A 17,750-nucleotide genomic window follows, 5' to 3' on the forward strand; every position below is an offset into this window, starting at 1 on the left:
GAATTCTGTTGATGATGGATGTGAGAGTGGTGAAGCCCTGCGGGATGATGTAGAGGACTTCCACATCCCTGGTGAGGAGCTGCCCCTTGGGTCTGAGTTTCTGGGAGGGGAGAGGGAGAAGCTGGGTGAGGCAGGCATGAATCTTGAGGAGTCAGGGCTGGGGGACCGCTCATATTCTCCCGAGACCTGTGAGTCTCTGGGGGACTCCTGGGTGCATGGGGCTGACTCCCGCAGGAACCTGGGGATGGCTGGAGAGTAACTGGGAGCCACAGGAGGGTCCCTGAGGCCTGGGGGTGAAGAGATGCAAGACACAGGGGTGGAGCAGCGTGAGGCTCGTGAGTTTGTAGGTGATTCCTGGGTGTGGGGGTCTGACTCCAGCTGAAATCTGGGGTTGTTTGGAGAGTAGCTGGGAGACACAGGAGAACCCCCGAGAGCTGGGGGTGAGCTGCTGGGTGATGGCAGTAAGAACATGTGGTATATTATTGATGAACGTGGGGACTCTGAGGAGTCCTCAGAGGAGGACACGGCAGAGCCCAATGGCTTCATTGATTGCCCATCACGGTGAGGACAGGGAAATGGGAGCTTGTGGGATTCTGGTGATGACAGAGGTGAGTGTGGTGAAGCCCTAGGGGATGGTGAATGGTAGTTCCGGATCCCTGGTGAGGAGCTTCCCCTTAAGCCTGAGTTTCTGAGAGGGGAGAGGGAGAAGCTGGGTGAGGCTCGCATGGACCTTGGGGTGTCCGTGCTGGGGGACCGTTCATAAGAAGAGCCAGACAAGACCCTACTGTTCTTAGGTGCAGACATGATTAGGAAACCTGCAGCTCCCAGGGGCCCCCACTAATGTTCTAACTCGCAGAAGGAAGGAGTGTGTGTGCGTGTGTGCGTGTGCGTGTGTGTGTGTGTGTGTGTTTGTGTGTGTGCGGTGTGAGGTATGGGCCCCTTAAGGAAATGGAAATCAACCAACCAATGGGACAGACAGACAGACAGACAGACAGAGATTCACTTGCCCAAGTGTTCTGTCCTGTCCTCTGAATCCGCTTTCAAGTCGCAAGACGCTGTGAGCTCCAAGTCCACGCAGAGTCCGCCAAACGCTCCGGCCGCTGATCCGCTCCGCGAAGATCTGAGTACAGGCCAGCCAGGGTGGGTTTAAATAGCCTCGGGCGCAGCCTAGCAGCGGAAAGGGCGGAGCTTCACTCCTCCTTTCCATCAGTCACCCCCAACTTTCCCAGGCTACACCTCGTAGGAAACTGTTCTCCTGCTTTGATTTCATGCGCCACCTTTGGGACAATCTAAGAACTTACAGGTTTTCTTGGCCAGATTTATTAGGAATTGTATGCACTGAAACACTGAAAACCAACTAGTGGTTCTGTGCTTCCCACGTTGTGGTTTTGACACCAGCAGCATCCTTGCCACAATCAAACCCCGGAGATCCGCAGATCTGTGTTGTAACAAGACCTCCCCCTGACCCTGAAGCATGGCAGTTGAAGAAGTCTTTCCGTGTAAGCGAAAAGACTTTGAAGAAAAGGTGGAGATATGCGTTGTATAAACATTCTTTGGCTCTGGAACCACGTAGAGACTTGGGAGCCAGTTGGGTGGAGCATTCGTTGGATGAGGGTGCTCGGGTTAGGAATATCAAGGTGTTTCTCCAGATAATCCAATCATCTAATTAAGATTCCAGTTATGCTCATCTGTTTTAAAATTCCGTTTGGGTAAATTCTTTTAGTCAGACTGAGAATGGCAAAGCCTCAACCCCAATTTCCAGGGAGGGTGGAGAGCCTCAGGTGGAGTTGATCACCAATAGCCTATGGTTTAACCCATCATGCCTATAGAATGAGGTCTCCATCAAAACCCAAAAGGACTGGGTTCAGAGAGCTTCTGGATAACACTTCCTGGAAGGTAGTGCACCCCTCCCCGCATGCCGGGCCCCACATTTATTTCTGAACCTTGTGCAATGTCCGCTAAAATACAACGGCAAATGTAAGTGTTTCCCTGCGTGCTGTGAGCTCTTCCAGCAAATGAATGCAACTAAATCTGGGAGTGGTGGCAACCTGATTTATAGCCAGTTGCTGAGAAGCACAGGTAAAACAACGTAGGGCTTCCCATTGTTATTGGTGTGGGAGGCCTGTCTGGCGGGACTCGACCCTTTGGAATCTAATGCTATGTCCCGGTAGATAGCGTCACCATTGAATTAGAAGACACACATATGTGGAGAATAATCTTTCTGGTCATTTACTGCATGTCATATTTACAATATGTAATCAAATTCTTTATCCTGACCTTATGGCACCTGGGTTTAGGACCATGATTTGAACCAAACGTTGGTCTGTCACTTTCTGAGTTTGAAACTTTATTTTGCCTTTAGCGTTTTGCTATTGCTTTTTCGTTTTCTTTTGTTTCGTTTCGTTTCTAAGTTCTGGGGTATATGTGCAGGATGTGCAGATTTGTTACTAAGGTAAACGTGTGCCATGGTGGTTTGCTGCACCTGTCAACCCGTCACCTAGGTATTAAGCCCAGCATGCAGTAGCTGTTTTTCTTAACGCTCTGCCTCCCGAAAGGCCCCAGTGTGTGTTGTTCCCCTTCCTGTGTCCATGGGATCTCACTTTTCAGCTCCCATTATAAGTGAGAAGGTGGCGTTTGGTTTTCTTTCCCTGGATTAGTTTGCTGACGATAATGACCACACATCACCACTGTTTTTGTTTTTTAGTATAAAGAGTAGTATTTTATTGAATAAGATTTGCTCACAGAAAAATAAGCTTAAATCTACAATGAATGCCAGACCCTACAGCAGAAAGCAATTTTCTCACTTTTCCACACACAATGGTTCCTACTAAGTGAAAAAAAAGCCATAAAATTTCATTCACAAATGTACTACTCTGTCTCAAAACATCTCACGTAATCATGCACTGTACTAAAGCCATCAGATCAGTTCTTCAGTCAGGTTAAAGAAGTATCCCTCTAATAACTGACTTTTATAATGCTATCAATATCCACTCCCAATCAGTCTGCCATTGTTAATGGTGTACAGCATTACTGAATACAACGGAATTGATGACGCCCATATCCACAGACAAACCGTGACTTATGATGGTTTGACTTATGATTTTTCAACGTTATGATGGGTTTATTGGAATATTAGATTCGTTTCTGAGTTACACTGGGTTTATGAGTATGCGACCCTACACTCCAGAAACAGCTGTATAAGGAAAAACAGGAGTACCTAATAAAAATATGCTTAGTGACTTGGGATAAAGCAATAGATGTTCACAAGTGATGGAGAGCCGTGAAAGAGAGATAGCGGTAAATAGTTACAATAACACAATTTTCCTGCACCTGTCGAGGATTTCCCCCAAAAAACGCAGAATGTGGGATGCACCTAAGGCATATGAAAGAGAGAGGGCAGAAGGAGTAAGAGAGAAATAGGAGGAAGGAAGGAAGGAAGCAAGGAAGACAGGAAGGAAGGAAAGAAGGAAGGTAGGACGGAAGGAAGGAAGGAAGGAAGGAAAGAAGGATGAAAGGAAGGAGAAAACACCGGTGTTACTAAAACCCCCCAAAAAATGGTTTCCCCCTGTGGGTAAGCCTACAATGTGGATGAATCTTGAAAATATTGTGCTACGTGTTATGTCAGTCATAGCAGCTCACCTATTGTGCAATTCCGTTTATAGGAAATGTCCACAATATGGAAATCTATGCATATGGGATTGATCGCACTAGGTAGTTGCTACCTAGGGCTGAGGGTCAGGGAGAGGGTTTGAGACAGAATGAGGAGTGACTAATGTCTACAGGGTCTTTCTCTGGTCGGGGGTGATAAGACGTTTTACAATGGATTGCGAATTAAAATTGAATGTGCACAACCACAGGTATACTAAAAGCCACTCAATTCATGACCTTTAATGGGGGAATCTTACGTGGCGTAGTCTCATGGAGACCACGGCAGACATAGTGAGAGAGAAAAAGGTGAGTAAATATCTGAAACGGAGGCAGAAACAGAGAGAATGAAAAGCCCTGTGAATGGAAGGGAGAGCGAAAAGGGAAAATGGTCCTATTTACAAATGACAGATGTGAAACTGGGGTTCACATCAACAGTGTCACTGCCAGGAAGGAGGGTCATGCTAGCCATGTCACCGGTAGTGTGGCCCGCAGGGACGCCGACCTGCTGGAGCGTCGTGCCAGCATGGGCTGTGGCAACCACGTGGGCCAGCAGGAGGTTCCCGCTGCACAGCTGTGGGGTGAGGATAGACTGGGTGGTGATATCGGCCATTACAGGGGCCTCTTCTGCTGGCAAGAGTGTGACAGTAGCAAGTAGATGGACAGGCCTGCGTGTGAGGACGGAATGCAGGAGGGGTTCTTGTGCGCCTGGGTGTGGGGCCCTCACGGGAACCGTGGAGAAATGGCCAGGTAACTGCGTCATGTGGGCTAGTAGATTGGCCAGGGCTTCGAACTGAAGGACGATAATGGGGAGTAGCTGTCAGGCCCTGGGAGTGCCTGAGTGTAAGTGGAGATGGGTTTGGGGTCACTGAGGGATGCGTGGGAGCCATCCCTGTATAGGTACAGGTCATAGGGAGATAGTCTCGTGAGGCCTGTGAGTGTCTAGGGTTGTCCTGGGTGCCTGGGGCTGACTGTGGCAGAAATCTGGGGAAGGCTGGAGAGAAGCTGGGAGACCCAGGAGAGTCCCTGAAGGCAGGGGGTGAAGAGGTGAAAGAAATGGGGGAGGGTTGCAGTAAGGTCCGTGAGTTTGTAGGTGATTCCTGGGTGCGGGAAGCTGACTCCAGGTGAAATCTGGAGATGGTTGGAGAGTAGCTGAGAGAGACAGAAGAGTCCCTGAGGGCTGGGGGTGAGAACATGAGGGAGACGGGGGAGTAAGTCAGTGAAATTCGTGAGTTCGGTGGTGTATCGTGGGTGCCTGGAACTGACTCCAGCTGGAATCTAGAGAAGTTTTGAGAGTAGCTGAAGGAGACACAAGAGTCCCTGTGGGCTGAGGGCAAAGACCTGAGACAGACCAGGGAGGACCTCAGTGAAGTCTGTGAGTCTGTAGGTGATTCCGGAGTGTGGGAGGCTGACTCCCGCTGAAATCTGGGCGTGGTGGGAGAGTAGCTGGGACAGACAGGAGAGTCCCAGGGGGCTCGGGGTGACGACGTGAGAGAGACTGGGGAGTAACTCAGTGAAATTGCTGAGTTGGTTGGTGATACCTGGGTGCCTGGAACTGACCCCCGCTGAAATCTGGGCATGGTTGGAGAGTAGCTGGGACACACAGGAGAGTCCCTGAGGGCTGGGGGTGAAGACATGAGCGAGACCGGGGAGTAACTGAGTGAAACTGGTGAGTTTGGTGGTGACTCCGGGGTGCCTGGAACTGACTCCAGCTGAAATGTGGGCGTGGTTGGAGAGTAGCTGGGACAGACAGGAGAGTCCCTGAGGACTGGTGAAGACATGAGAGAGACTGGAGAGTAATTGAGTGAAATTGGTGAGTTTGGTGGTGATTCCTGGGTGCCTGGAACTGACTCCCGCTGAAGTGTGGGCGTGGTTGGAGAGTAGCTGGGACACACAGGAGAGTCCCTGAGGGTTGGAGATAAAGACGTGCTAGAGACTGAGGAGTAACTGAGTGAAATTGGTGAGTTTGGTGGTGATTCCGGGGTGCCTGGAACGGACTCCAGCTGAAATGTGGGCGTGGTTGGAGAGTAGCTGGGACAGACGGGAGAGTCCCTGAGGGATGGTGAAGACATGAGAGAGACTGGGGAGTAACGCAGTGAAATTGGTGAGTTTGGTGGTGATTTCTGGGTGCCTGCAACGGACTCCCGCTGAAGTGTGGGCGTGCTTGGAGAGTAGCTGGGACAGACAGGCGAGTCCCTGAGGGTTGGAGATAAAGACGTGCTGGAGACTGGGGAGTAACTCAGTGAAAGTGGTGGGCTTGGTGGTGATCCCAGGGTTCCTGGAACTGACCCGCGCTGAAATGTGGGCGTGGTTGGAGAGTAGCTGGGACAGACTGGAGGGTCCGTAAGGGCTGGGGGTGAAGACGTGAGAGAGACTGGCGAGGATCTCACTGAGGTCTGTGAGTTTGTAGGTGTTTCTGGGGTGTGGGGTACAGACTCCCGCTGAAATCTGGGCGTAGTTGGAGAGTAGCTGGGACAGACAGGAGAGTCATGGGTGGCTGGGGGTGAGCTGCTGGATGATGGCAGTAAGAACATATGGTACATTATTGATGAATGAGGTGACTGTGAAAAATCTCCAGAGGAGGACACGGGAGAACACAATGACATGAGTGACTGTCCTGCTTGGTTAGGAAAGGGAAACGTAAAGTTGTGGAATTCTGTTGATGATGGATGTGAGAGTGGTGAAGCCCTGCGGGATGATGTAGAGGACTTCCACATCCCTGGTGAGGAGCTGCCCCTTGGGTCTGAGTTTCTGGGAGGGGAGAGGGAGAAGCTGGGTGAGGCAGGCATGAATCTTGAGGAGTCAGGGCTGGGGGACCGCTCATATTCTCCCGAGACCTGTGAGTCTCTGGGGGACTCCTGGGTGCATGGGGCTGACTCCCGCAGGAACCTGGGGATGGCTGGAGAGTAACTGGGAGCCACAGGAGGGTCCCTGAGGCCTGGGGGTGAAGAGATGCAAGACACAGGGGTGGAGCAGCGTGAGGCTCGTGAGTTTGTAGGTGATTCCTGGGTGTGGGGGGCTGACTCCAGCTGAAATCTGGGGTTGTTTGGAGAGTAGCTGGGAGACACAGGAGAACCCCCGAGAGCTGGGGGTGAGCTGCTGGGTGATGGCAGTAAGAACATGTGGTATATTATTGATGAACGTGGGGACTCTGAGGAGTCCTCAGAGGAGGACACGGCAGAGCCCAATGGCTTCATTGATTGCCCATCACGGTGAGGACAGGGAAATGGGAGCTTGTGGGATTCTGGTGATGACAGAGGTGAGTGTGGTGAAGCCCTAGGGGATGGTGAATGGTAGTTCCGGATCCCTGGTGAGGAGCTTCCCCTTAAGCCGGAGTTTCTGAGAGGGGAGAGGGAGAAGCTGGGTGAGGCTCGCATGGACCTTGGGGTGTCCGTGCTGGGGGACCGTTCATAAGAAGAGCCAGACAAGACCCTACTGTTCTTAGGTGCAGACATGATTAGGAAACCTGCAGCTCCCAGGGGCCCCCACTAATGTTCTAACTCGCAGAAGGAAGGAGTGTGTGTGCGTGTGTGCGTGTGCGTGTGTGTGTGTGTGTGTGTTTGTGTGTGTGCGGTGTGAGGTATGGGCCCCTTAAGGAAATGGAAATCAACCAACCAATGGGACAGACAGACAGACAGACAGACAGAGATTCACTTGCCCAAGTGTTCTGTCCTGTCCTCTGAATCCGCTTTCAAGTCGCAAGACGCTGTGAGCTCCAAGTCCACGCAGAGTCCGCCAAACGCTCCGGCCGCTGATCCGCTCCGCGAAGATCTGAGTACAGGCCAGCCAGGGTGGGTTTAAATAGCCTCGGGCGCAGCCTAGCAGCGGAAAGGGCGGAGCTTCACTCCTCCTTTCCATCAGTCACCCCCAACTTTCCCAGGCTACACCTCGTAGGAAACTGTTCTCCTGCTTTGATTTCATGCGCCACCTTTGGGACAATCTAAGAACTTACAGGTTTTCTTGGCCAGATTTATTAGGAATTGTATGCACTGAAACACTGAAAACCAACTAGTGGTTCTGTGCTTCCCACGTTGTGGTTTTGACACCAGCAGCATCCTTGCCACAATCAAATCCCGGAGATCCGCAGATCTGTGTTGTAACAAGACCTCCCCCTGACCCTGATGCATGGCAGTTGAAGAAGTCTTTCCGTGTAAGCGAAAAGACTTTGAAGAAAAGGTGGAGATATGCGTAGTATAAACATTCTTTGGCTCTGGAACCACGTAGAGACTTGGGAGCCAGTTGGGTGGAGCATTCGTTGGATGAGGGTGCTCGGGTTAGGAATATCAAGGTGTGGCTCCAGATAATGCAATCATCTAATTAAGATTCCAGTTATGCTCATCTGTTTTAAAATTCCGTTTGGGTAAATTCTTTTAGTCAGACTGAGAATGGCAAAGCCTCAACCCCAATTTCCAGGGAGGGTGGAGAGCCTCAGGTGGAGTTGATCACCAATAGCCTATGGTTTAACCCATCATGCATATAGAATGAGGTCTCCATCAAAACCCAAAAGGACTGGGTTCAGAGAGCTTCTGGATAACACTTCCTGGAAGGTAGTGCACCCCTCCCCGCATGCCGGGCCCCACATTTATTTCTGAACTTTGTGCAATGTCCGCTAAAATACAACGGCAAATGTAAGTGTTTCCCTGCGTGCTGTGAGCTCTTCCAGCAAATGAATGCAACTAAATCTGGGAGTGGTGGCAACCTGATTTATAGCCAGTTGCTGAGAAGCACAGGTAAAACAACGTAGGGCTTCCCATTGTTATTGGTGTGGGAGGCCTGTCTGGCGGGACTCGGCCCTTTGGAATCTAATGCTATGTCCCGGTAGATAGCGTCACCATTGAATTAGAAGACACACATATGTGGAGAATAATCTTTCTGGTCATTTACTGCATGTCATATTTACAATATGTAATCAAATTCTTTATCCTGACCTTATGGCACCTGAGTTTAGGACCATGATTTGAACCAAACATTGGTCTGTCACTTTCTGAGTTTGAAACTTTATTTTGCCTTTAGCGTTTTGCTATTGCTTTTTCATTTTCTTTTGTTTCGTTTCGTTTCTAAGTTCTGGGGTATATGTGCAGGATGTGCAGATTTGTTACTAAGGTAAACGTGTGCCATGGTGGTTTGCTGCACCTGTCAACCCGTCACCTAGGTATTAAGCCCAGCATGCAGTAGCTGTTTTTCTTAACGCTCTGCCTCCCGAAAGGCCCCAGTGTGTGTTGTTCCCCTTCCTGTGTCCATGGGATCTCACTTTTCAGCTCCCATTATAAGTGAGAAGGTGGCGTTTGGTTTTCTTTCCCTGGATTAGTTTGCTGACGATAATGACCACACATCACCACTGTTTTTGTTTTTTAGTATAAAGAGTAGTATTTTATTGAATAAGATTTGCTCACAGAAAAATAAGCTTAAATCTACAATGAATGCCAGACCCTACAGCAGAAAGCAATTTTCTCACTTTTCCACACACAATGGTTCCTACTAAGTGAAAAAAAAGCCATAAAATTTCATTCACAAATGTACTACTCTGTCTCAAAACATCTCACGTAATCATGCACTGTACTAAAGCCATCAGATCAGTTCTTCAGTCAGGTTAAAGAAGTATCCCTCTAATAACTGACTTTTATAATGCTATCAATATCCACTCCCAATCAGTCTGCCATTGTTAATGGTGTACAGCATTACTGAATACAACGGAATTGATGACGCCCATATCCACAGACAAACCGTGACTTATGATGGTTTCACTTATGATTTTTCAACGTTATGATGGGTTTATTGGAATATTAGATTCGTTTCTGAGTTACACTGGGTTTATGAGTATGCGACCCTACACTCCAGAAACAGCTGTATAAGGAAAAACAGGAGTACCTAATAAAAATATGCTTAGTGACTTGGGATAAACCAATAGATGTTCACAAGTGATGGAGAGCCGTGAAAGAGAGATAGCGGTAAATAGTTACAATAACACAATTTTCCTGCACCTGTCGAGGATTTCCCCAAAAAAACGCAGAATGTGGGATGCACCTAAGGCATATGAAAGAGAGAGGGCAGAAGGAGTAAGAGAGAAATAGGAGGAAGGAAGGAAGGAAGGAAGCAAGGAAGAAAGGAAGGAAGGAAAGAAGGAAGGAAGGACGGAAGGAAGGAAGGAAGGAAGGAAGGAAGGAAGGAAGGAAGGAAGGAAGGAAAGAAGGACTAAAGGAAGGAGAGAACACCGGTGTTACTAAAACCCCCCAAAAAATGGTTTCCCCCTGTGGGTAAGCCTACAATGTGGATGAATCTTGAAAATATTGTGCTACGTGTTATGTCAGTCATAGCAGCTCACCTATTGTGCAATTCCGTTTATAGGAAATGTCCACAATATGGAAATCTATGCATATGGGATTGATCGCACTAGGTAGTTGCTACCTAGGGCTGAGGGTCAGGGAGAGGGTTTGAGACAGAAGGAGGAGTGACTAATGTCTACAGCGTTTTTCTCTGGTCGGGGGTGATAAGACGTTTTACAATGGATTGCGAATTAAAATTGAATGTGCACAACCACAGGTATACTAAAAGCCACTGAATTCATGACCTTTAATGGGGGAATGTTATGTGGCGCAGTCTCATGGAGACCACGGCAGACATAGTGAGAGAGAAAAAGGTGAGTAAATATCTGAAACGGAGGCAGAAACAGAGAGAATGAAAAGCCCTGTGAATGGAAGGGAGAGCGAAAAGGGAAAATGGTCCCATTGACAAATGACAGATGTGAAACTGGGGTTCACATCAACAGTGTCACTGCCAGGGAGGAGGGTCATGCTAGCCATGTCACCGGTAGTGTGGCCCGCAGGGACGCCGACCTGCTGGAGCGTCGTGCCAGCATGGGCTGTGGCAACCACGTGGGCCAGCAGGAGGTTCCCGCTGCACAGCTGTGGGGTGAGGATAGACTGGTTGGTGATATCGGCCATTACAGGTGCCTCTTCTGCTGGCAAGAGTGTGACAGTAGCAAGTAGATGGACAGGCCTGCGTGTGAGGACGGAATGCAGGAGGGGTTCTTGTGCGGCTGGGTGTGGGGCCCTCACGGGAACCGTGGAGAAATGGCCAGGTAACTGCGTCATGTGGGCTAGTAGATTGGCCAGGGCTTCGAACTGAAGGACGATAACGGGGAGTAGCTGTCAGACCCTGGGAGTGCCTGAGTGTAAGTGGAGATGGGTTTGGGGTCACTGAGGTATGCGTGGGAGCCATTCCTGTATAGGTACAGGTCATAGGGAGATAGTCTCGTGAGGCCTGTGAGTGTCTAGGGTTGTCCTGGGTGCCTGGGGCTGACTGTGGCAGAAATCTGGGGAAGGCTGGAGAGAAGCTGGGAGACCCAGGAGAGTCCCTGAAGGCAGGGGGTGAAGAGGTGAAAGAAATGGGGGAGGGTTGCAGTAAGGTCCGTGAGTTTGTAGGTGATTCCTGGGTGCGGGAAGCTGACTCCAGGTGAAATCTGGAGATGGTTGGAGAGTAGCTGAGAGAGACAGAAGAGTCCCTGAGGGCTGGGGGTGAGAACATGAGGGAGACGGGGGAGTAAGTCAGTGAAATTCGTGAGTTCGGTGGTGTATCGTGGGTGCCTGGAACTGACTCCAGCTGGAATCTAGAGAAGTTTTGAGAGTAGCTGAAGGAGACACAAGAGTCCCTGTGGGCTGAGGGCAAAGACCTGAGAGAGACCAGGGAGGACCTCAGTGAAGACTGTGAGTCTGTAGGTGATTCCGGAGTGTGGGAGGCTGACTCCCGCTGAAATCTGGGCGTGGTGGGAGAGTAGCTGGGACAGACAGGAGAGTCCCAGGGGGCTGGGGATGAAGACATGAGAGAGACTGGGGAGTAACTCAGTGAAATTGCTGAGTTGGTTGGTGATACCTGGGTGCCTGGAACTGACCCCCGCTGAAATCTGGGCATGGTTGGAGAGTAGCTGGGACACACAGGAGAGTCCCTGAGGGCTGGGGGTGAAGACATGAGCGAGACCGGGGAGTAACTGAGTGAAACTGGTGAGTTTGGTGGTGACTCCGGGGTGCCTGGAACTGACTCCAGCTGAAATGTGGGCGTGGTTGGAGAGTAGCTGGGACAGACAGGAGAGTCCCTGAGGACTGGTGAAGTCATGAGAGAGACTGGAGAGTAATTGAGTGAAATTGGTGAGTTTGGTGGTGATTCCTGGGTGCCTGGAACTGACTCCCGCTGAAGTGTGGGCGTGGTTGGAGAGTAGCTGGGACACACAGGAGAGTCCCTGAGGGTTGGAGATAAAGACGTGCTAGAGACTGAGGAGTAACTGAGTGAAATTGGTGAGTTTGGTGGTGATTCCGGGGTGCCTGGAACGGACTCCAGCTGAAATGTGGGCGTGGTTGGAGAGTAGCTGGGACAGACGGGAGAGTCCCTGAGGGATGGTGAAGACATGAGAGAGACTGGGGAGTAACGCAGTGAAATTGGTGAGTTTGGTGGTGATTTCTGGGTGCCTGCAACGGACTCCCGCTGAAGTGTGGGCGTGCTTGGAGAGTAGCTGGGACAGACAGGCGAGTCCCTGAGGGTTGGAGATAAAGACGTGCTGGAGACTGGGGAGTAACTCAGTGAAAGTGGTGGGCTTGGTGGTGATCCCAGGGTTCCTGGAACTGACCCGCGCTGAAATGTGGGCGTGGTTGGAGAGTAGCTGGGACAGACTGGAGGGTCCGTAAGGGCTGGGGGTGAAGACGTGAGAGAGACTGGCGAGGATCTCACTGAGGTCTGTGAGTTTGTAGGTGTTTCTGGGGTGTGGGGTACAGACTCCCGCTGAAATCTGGGCGTAGTTGGAGCGTAGCTGGGACAGACAGGAGAGTCATGGGTGGCTGGGGGTGAGCTGCTGGATGATGGCAGTAAGAACATATGGTACATTATTGATGAATGAGGTGACTGTGAAGAATCTCCAGAGGAGGACACGGGAGAACACAATGACATGAGTGACTGTCCTGCTTGGTTAGGAAAGGGAAACGTAAAGTTGTGGAATTCTGTTGATGATGGATGTGAGAGTGGTGAAGCCCTGCGGGATGATGTAGAGGACTTCCACATCCCTGGTGAGGAGCTGCCCCTTGGGTCTGAGTTTCTGGGAGGGGAGAGGGAGAAGCTGGGTGAGGCAGGCATGAATCTTGAGGAGTCAGGGCTGGGGGACCGCTCATATTCTCCCGAGACCTGTGAGTCTCTGGGGGACTCCTGGGTGCATGGGGCTGACTCCCGCAGGAACCTGGGGTTGGCTGGAGAGTAACTGGGAGCCACAGGAGGGTCCCTGAGGCCTGGGGGTGAAGAGATGCAAGACACAGGGGTGGAGCAACGTGAGGCTCGTGAGTTTGTAGGTGATTCCTGGGTGTGGGGGGCTGACTCCAGCTGAAATCTGGGGTTGTTTGGAGAGTAGCTGGGAGACACAGGAGACCCCCCGAGAGCTGGGGATGAGCTGCTGGGTGATGGCAGTAAGAACATGTGGTATATTATTGATGAACGTGGGGACTCTGAGGAGTCCTCAGAGGAGGACACGGCAGAGCCCAATGGCTTCATTGATTTCCCATCAAGGTGAGGACAGGGAAATGGGAGCTTGTGGGATTCTGGTGATGACAGAGGTGAGTGTGGTGAAGCCCTAGGGGATGGTGAATGGCAGTTTCGGATCCCTGGTGAGGAGCTTCCCCTTAAGCCTGAGTTTCTGAGAGGGGAGAGGGAGAAGCTGGGTGAGGCTCGCATGGACCTTGGGGTGTCCGTGCTGGGGGACCGTTCATAAGAAGAGCCAGACAAGACCCTACTGTTCTTAGGTGCAGACATGATTAGGAAACCTGCAGCTCCCAGGGGCCCCTACTGATGTTCTAACTCGCAGAAGGAAGGAGTGTGTGTGCGTGTGTGCGTGTGCGTGTGTGTGTGTGTGTGTGTGTTTGTGTGTGTGCGGTGTGAGCTATGTGCCCCTTAAGGAAATGGAAATCAACCAACCAATGGGACAGACAGACAGACAGACAGACAGAGATTCACTTGCCCAAGTGTTCTGTCCTGTCCTCTGAATCCGCTTTCAAGTCGCAAGACGCTGTGAGCTCCAAGTCCACGCAGAGTCCGCCAAACGCTCCGGCCGCTGATCCGCTCCGCGAAGATCTGAGTACAGGCCAGCCAGGGTGGGTTTAAATAGCCTCGGGCGCAGCCTAGCAGCGGAAAGGGCGGAGCTTCACTCCTCCTTTCCATCAGTCACCCCCAACTTTCCCAGGCTACACCTCGTAGGAAACTGTTCTCCTGCTTTGATTTCATGCGCCACCTTTGGGACAATCTAAGAACTTACAGGTTTTCTTGGCCAGATTTATTAGGAATTGTATGCACTGAAACACTGAAAACCAACTAGTGGTTCTGTGCTTCCCACGTTGTGGTTTTGACACCAGCAGCATCCTTGCCACAATCAAACCCCGGAGATCCGCAGATCTGTGTTGTAACAAGACCTCCCCCTGACCCTGATGCATGGCAGTTGAAGAAGTCTTTCCGTGTAAGCAAAAAGACTTTGAAGAAAAGGTGGAGATATGCGTTGTATAAACATTCTTTTGCTCTGGAACCACGTAGAGACTTGGGAGCCAGTTGGGTGGAGCATTCGTTGGATGAGGGTGCTCGGGTTAGGAATATCAAGGTGTTTCTCCAGATAATCCAATCATCTAATTAAGATTCCAGTTATGCTCATCTGTTTTAAAATTCCGTTTGGGTAAATTCTTTTAGTCAGACTGAGAATGGCAAAGCCTCAGCCCCAATTTCCAGGGAGGGTGGAGAGCCTCAGGTGGAGTTGATCACCAATAGCCTATGGTTTAACCCATCATGCCTATAGAATGAGGTCTCCATCAAAACCCAAAAGGACTGGGTTCAGAGAGCTTCTGGATAACACTTCCTGGAAGGTAGTGCACCCCTCCCCGCATGCCGGGCCCCACATTTATTTCTGAACTTTGTGCAATGCCCGCTAAAATACAACGGCAAATGTAAGTGTTTCCCTGCGTGCTGTGAGCTCTTCCAGCAAATGAATGCAAATAAATCTGGGAGTGGTGGCAACCTGATTCATAGCCAGTTGCTGAGAAGCACCGCTAAAACAACGTAGGGCTTCCCATTGTTATTGGTGTGGGAGGCCTGTCTGGCGGGACTCGGCCCTTTGGAATCTAATGCTATGTCCCGGTAGATAGCGTCACCATTGAATTAGAAGACACACATATGTGGAGAATAATCTTTCTGGTCATTTACTGCATGTCTTCTTTACAATATGTCATCAAATTCTTTATCCTGACCTTATGGCACCTGGGTTTGAACCAAAAGTTGGTCTGTCACTTTCTGAGTTTGAAACTTTATTTTGCCTTTAGCGTTTTGCTATTGCTTTTTCATTTTCTTTTGTTTCGTTTCGTTTCTAAGTTCTGGGGTATATGTGCAGGATGTGCAGGTTTGTTACTAAGGTAAACGTGTGCCATGGTGGTTTGCTGCACCTGTCAACCAGTCACCTAGGTATTAAGCCCAGCATGCAGTAGCTGTTTTTCTTAACGCTCTGCCTCCCGAAAGGCCCCAGTGTGTGTTGTTCCCCTTCCTGTGTCCATGGGATCTCACTTTTCAGCTCCCATTATAAGTGAGAAGGTGGCGTTTGGTTTTCTTTCCCTGGATTAGTTTGCTGACGATAATGACCACACATCACCACTGTTTTTGTTTTTTAGTATAAAGAGTAGTATTTTATTGAATAAGATTTGCTCACAGAAAAATAAGCTTAAATCTACAATGAATGCCAGACCCTACAGCAGAAAGCAATTTTCTCACTTTTCCACACACAATGGTTCCTACTAAGTGAAAAAAAAGCCATAAAATTTCATTCACAAATGTACTACTCTGTCTCAAAACATCTCACGTAATCATGCACTGTACTAAAGCCATCAGATCAGTTCTTCAGTCAGGTTAAAGAAGTATCCCTCTAATAACTGACTTTTATAATGCTATCAATATCAACTCCCAATCAGTCTGCCATTGTTAATGGTGTACGGCATTACTGAATACAACGGAATTGATGACGCCCATATCCACAGACAAACCGTGACTTATGATGGTTTGATTTATGATTTTTCAACGTTATGATGGGTTTAATGGAATATTAGATTCGTTTCTGAGTTACACTGGGTTTATGTGTATGCGACCCTATACTCCAGAAGCAGCTGTATAAGGAAAAACAGGTGTACTTAATAAAAATATGCTTAGTGACTTGGGATAAACCAATAGATGTTCACAAGTGATGGAGAGCCGTGAAAGAGAGAGAGCGGTAAATAGTTACAATAACACAATTTTTCTGCACCTGTCGAGGATTTCCCCCAAAAAACGCAGAATGTGGGATGCACCTAAGGCATATGAAAGAGAGAGGGCAGAAGGAGTAAGACAGAAACAGGAGGAAGGAAGGAAGGAAGGAAGGAAGGAAGGAAGGAAGGAAGGAAGGAAGGAAAGAAGGAAGGTAGGACGGAAAGAAGGAAGGAAGGAAGGAAGGAAGGAAGGAAAGAAGGACTAAAGGAAGGAGAGAACACCGGTGTTACTAAAACCCCCCAAAAAATGGTTTCCCCCTGTGGGTAAGCCTACAATGTGGATGAATCTTGAAAATATTGTGCTACGTGTTATGTCAGTCATAGCAGCTCACCTATTGTGCAATTCCGTTTATAGGAAATGTCCACAATATGGAAATCTATGCATATGGGATTGATCGCACTAGGTAGTTGCTACCTAGGGCTGAGGGTCAGGGAGAGGGTTTGAGACAGAAGGAGGAGTGACTAATGTCTACAGCGTTTTTCTCTGGTCGGGGGTGATAAGACGTTTTACAATGGATTGCGAATTAAAATTGAATGTGCACAACCACAGGTATACTAAAAGCCACTGAATTCATGACCTTTAATGGGGGAATGTTATGTGGCGCAGTCTCATGGAGACCACGGCAGACATAGTGAGAGAGAAAAAGGTGAGTAAATATCTGAAACGGAGGCAGAAACAGAGAGAATGAAAAGCCCTGTGAATGGAAGGGAGAGCGAAAAGGGAAAATGGTCCCATTTATAAATGACAGATTTGAAACTGGGGTTCACATCAACAGTGTCACTGCCAGGAAGGAGGGTCATGCTAGCCATGTCACCGGTAGTGTGGCCCGCAGGGACGCCGACCTGCTGGAGCGTCGTGCCAGCATGGGCTGTGGCAACCACGTGGGCCAGCAGGAGGTTCCCGCTGCACAGCTGTGGGGTGAGGATAGACTGGGTGGTGATATCGGCCATTACAGGGGCCTCTTCTGCTGGCAAGAGTGTGACAGTAGCAAGTAGATGGACAGGCCTGCGTGTGAGGACGGAATGCAGGAGGGGTTCTTGTGCGGCTGGGTGTGGGGCCCTCACGGGAACCGTGGAGAAATGGCCAGGTAACTGCGTCATGTGGGCTAGTAGATTGGCCAGGGCTTCGAACTGAAGGACGATAACGGGGAGTAGCTGTCAGGCCCTGGGAGTGCCTGAGTGTAAGTGGAGATGGGTTTGGGGTCACTGAGGTATGCGTGGGAGCCATTCCTGTATAGGTACAGGTCATAGGGAGATAGTCTCGTGAGGCCTGTGAGTGTCTAGGGTTGTCCTGGGTGCCTGGGGCTGACTGTGGCAGAAATCTGGGGAAGGCTGGAGAGAAGCTGGGAGACCCAGGAGAGTCCCTGAAGGCAGGGGGTGAAGAGGTGAAAGAAATGGGGGAGGGTTTCAGTAAGGTCCGTGAGTTTGTAGGTGATTCCTGGGTGCGGGAAGCTGACTCCAGGTGAAATCTGGAGATGGTTGGAGAGTAGCTGAGAGAGACAGAAGAGTCCCTGAGGGCTGGGGGTGAGAACATGAGGGAGACGGGGGAGTAAGTCAGTGAAATTCGTGAGTTCGGTGGTGTATCGTGGGTGCCTGGAACTGACTCCAGCTGGAATCTAGAGAAGTTTTGAGAGTAGCTGAAGGAGACACAAGAGTCCCTGTGGGCTGAGGGCAAAGACCTGAGACAGACCAGGGAGGACCTCAGTGAAGACTGTGAGTCTGTAGGTGATTCCGGAGTGTGGGAGGCTGACTCCCGCTGAAATCTGGGCGTGGTGGGAGAGTAGCTGGGACAGACAGGAGAGTCCC

Source organism: Homo sapiens, unplaced genomic scaffold, assembly GCF_000001405.40.
Source record: "Homo sapiens unplaced genomic scaffold, GRCh38.p14 Primary Assembly HSCHRUN_RANDOM_CTG16".
In the NCBI taxonomy this organism is placed as follows: domain Eukaryota; kingdom Metazoa; phylum Chordata; class Mammalia; order Primates; family Hominidae; genus Homo; species Homo sapiens.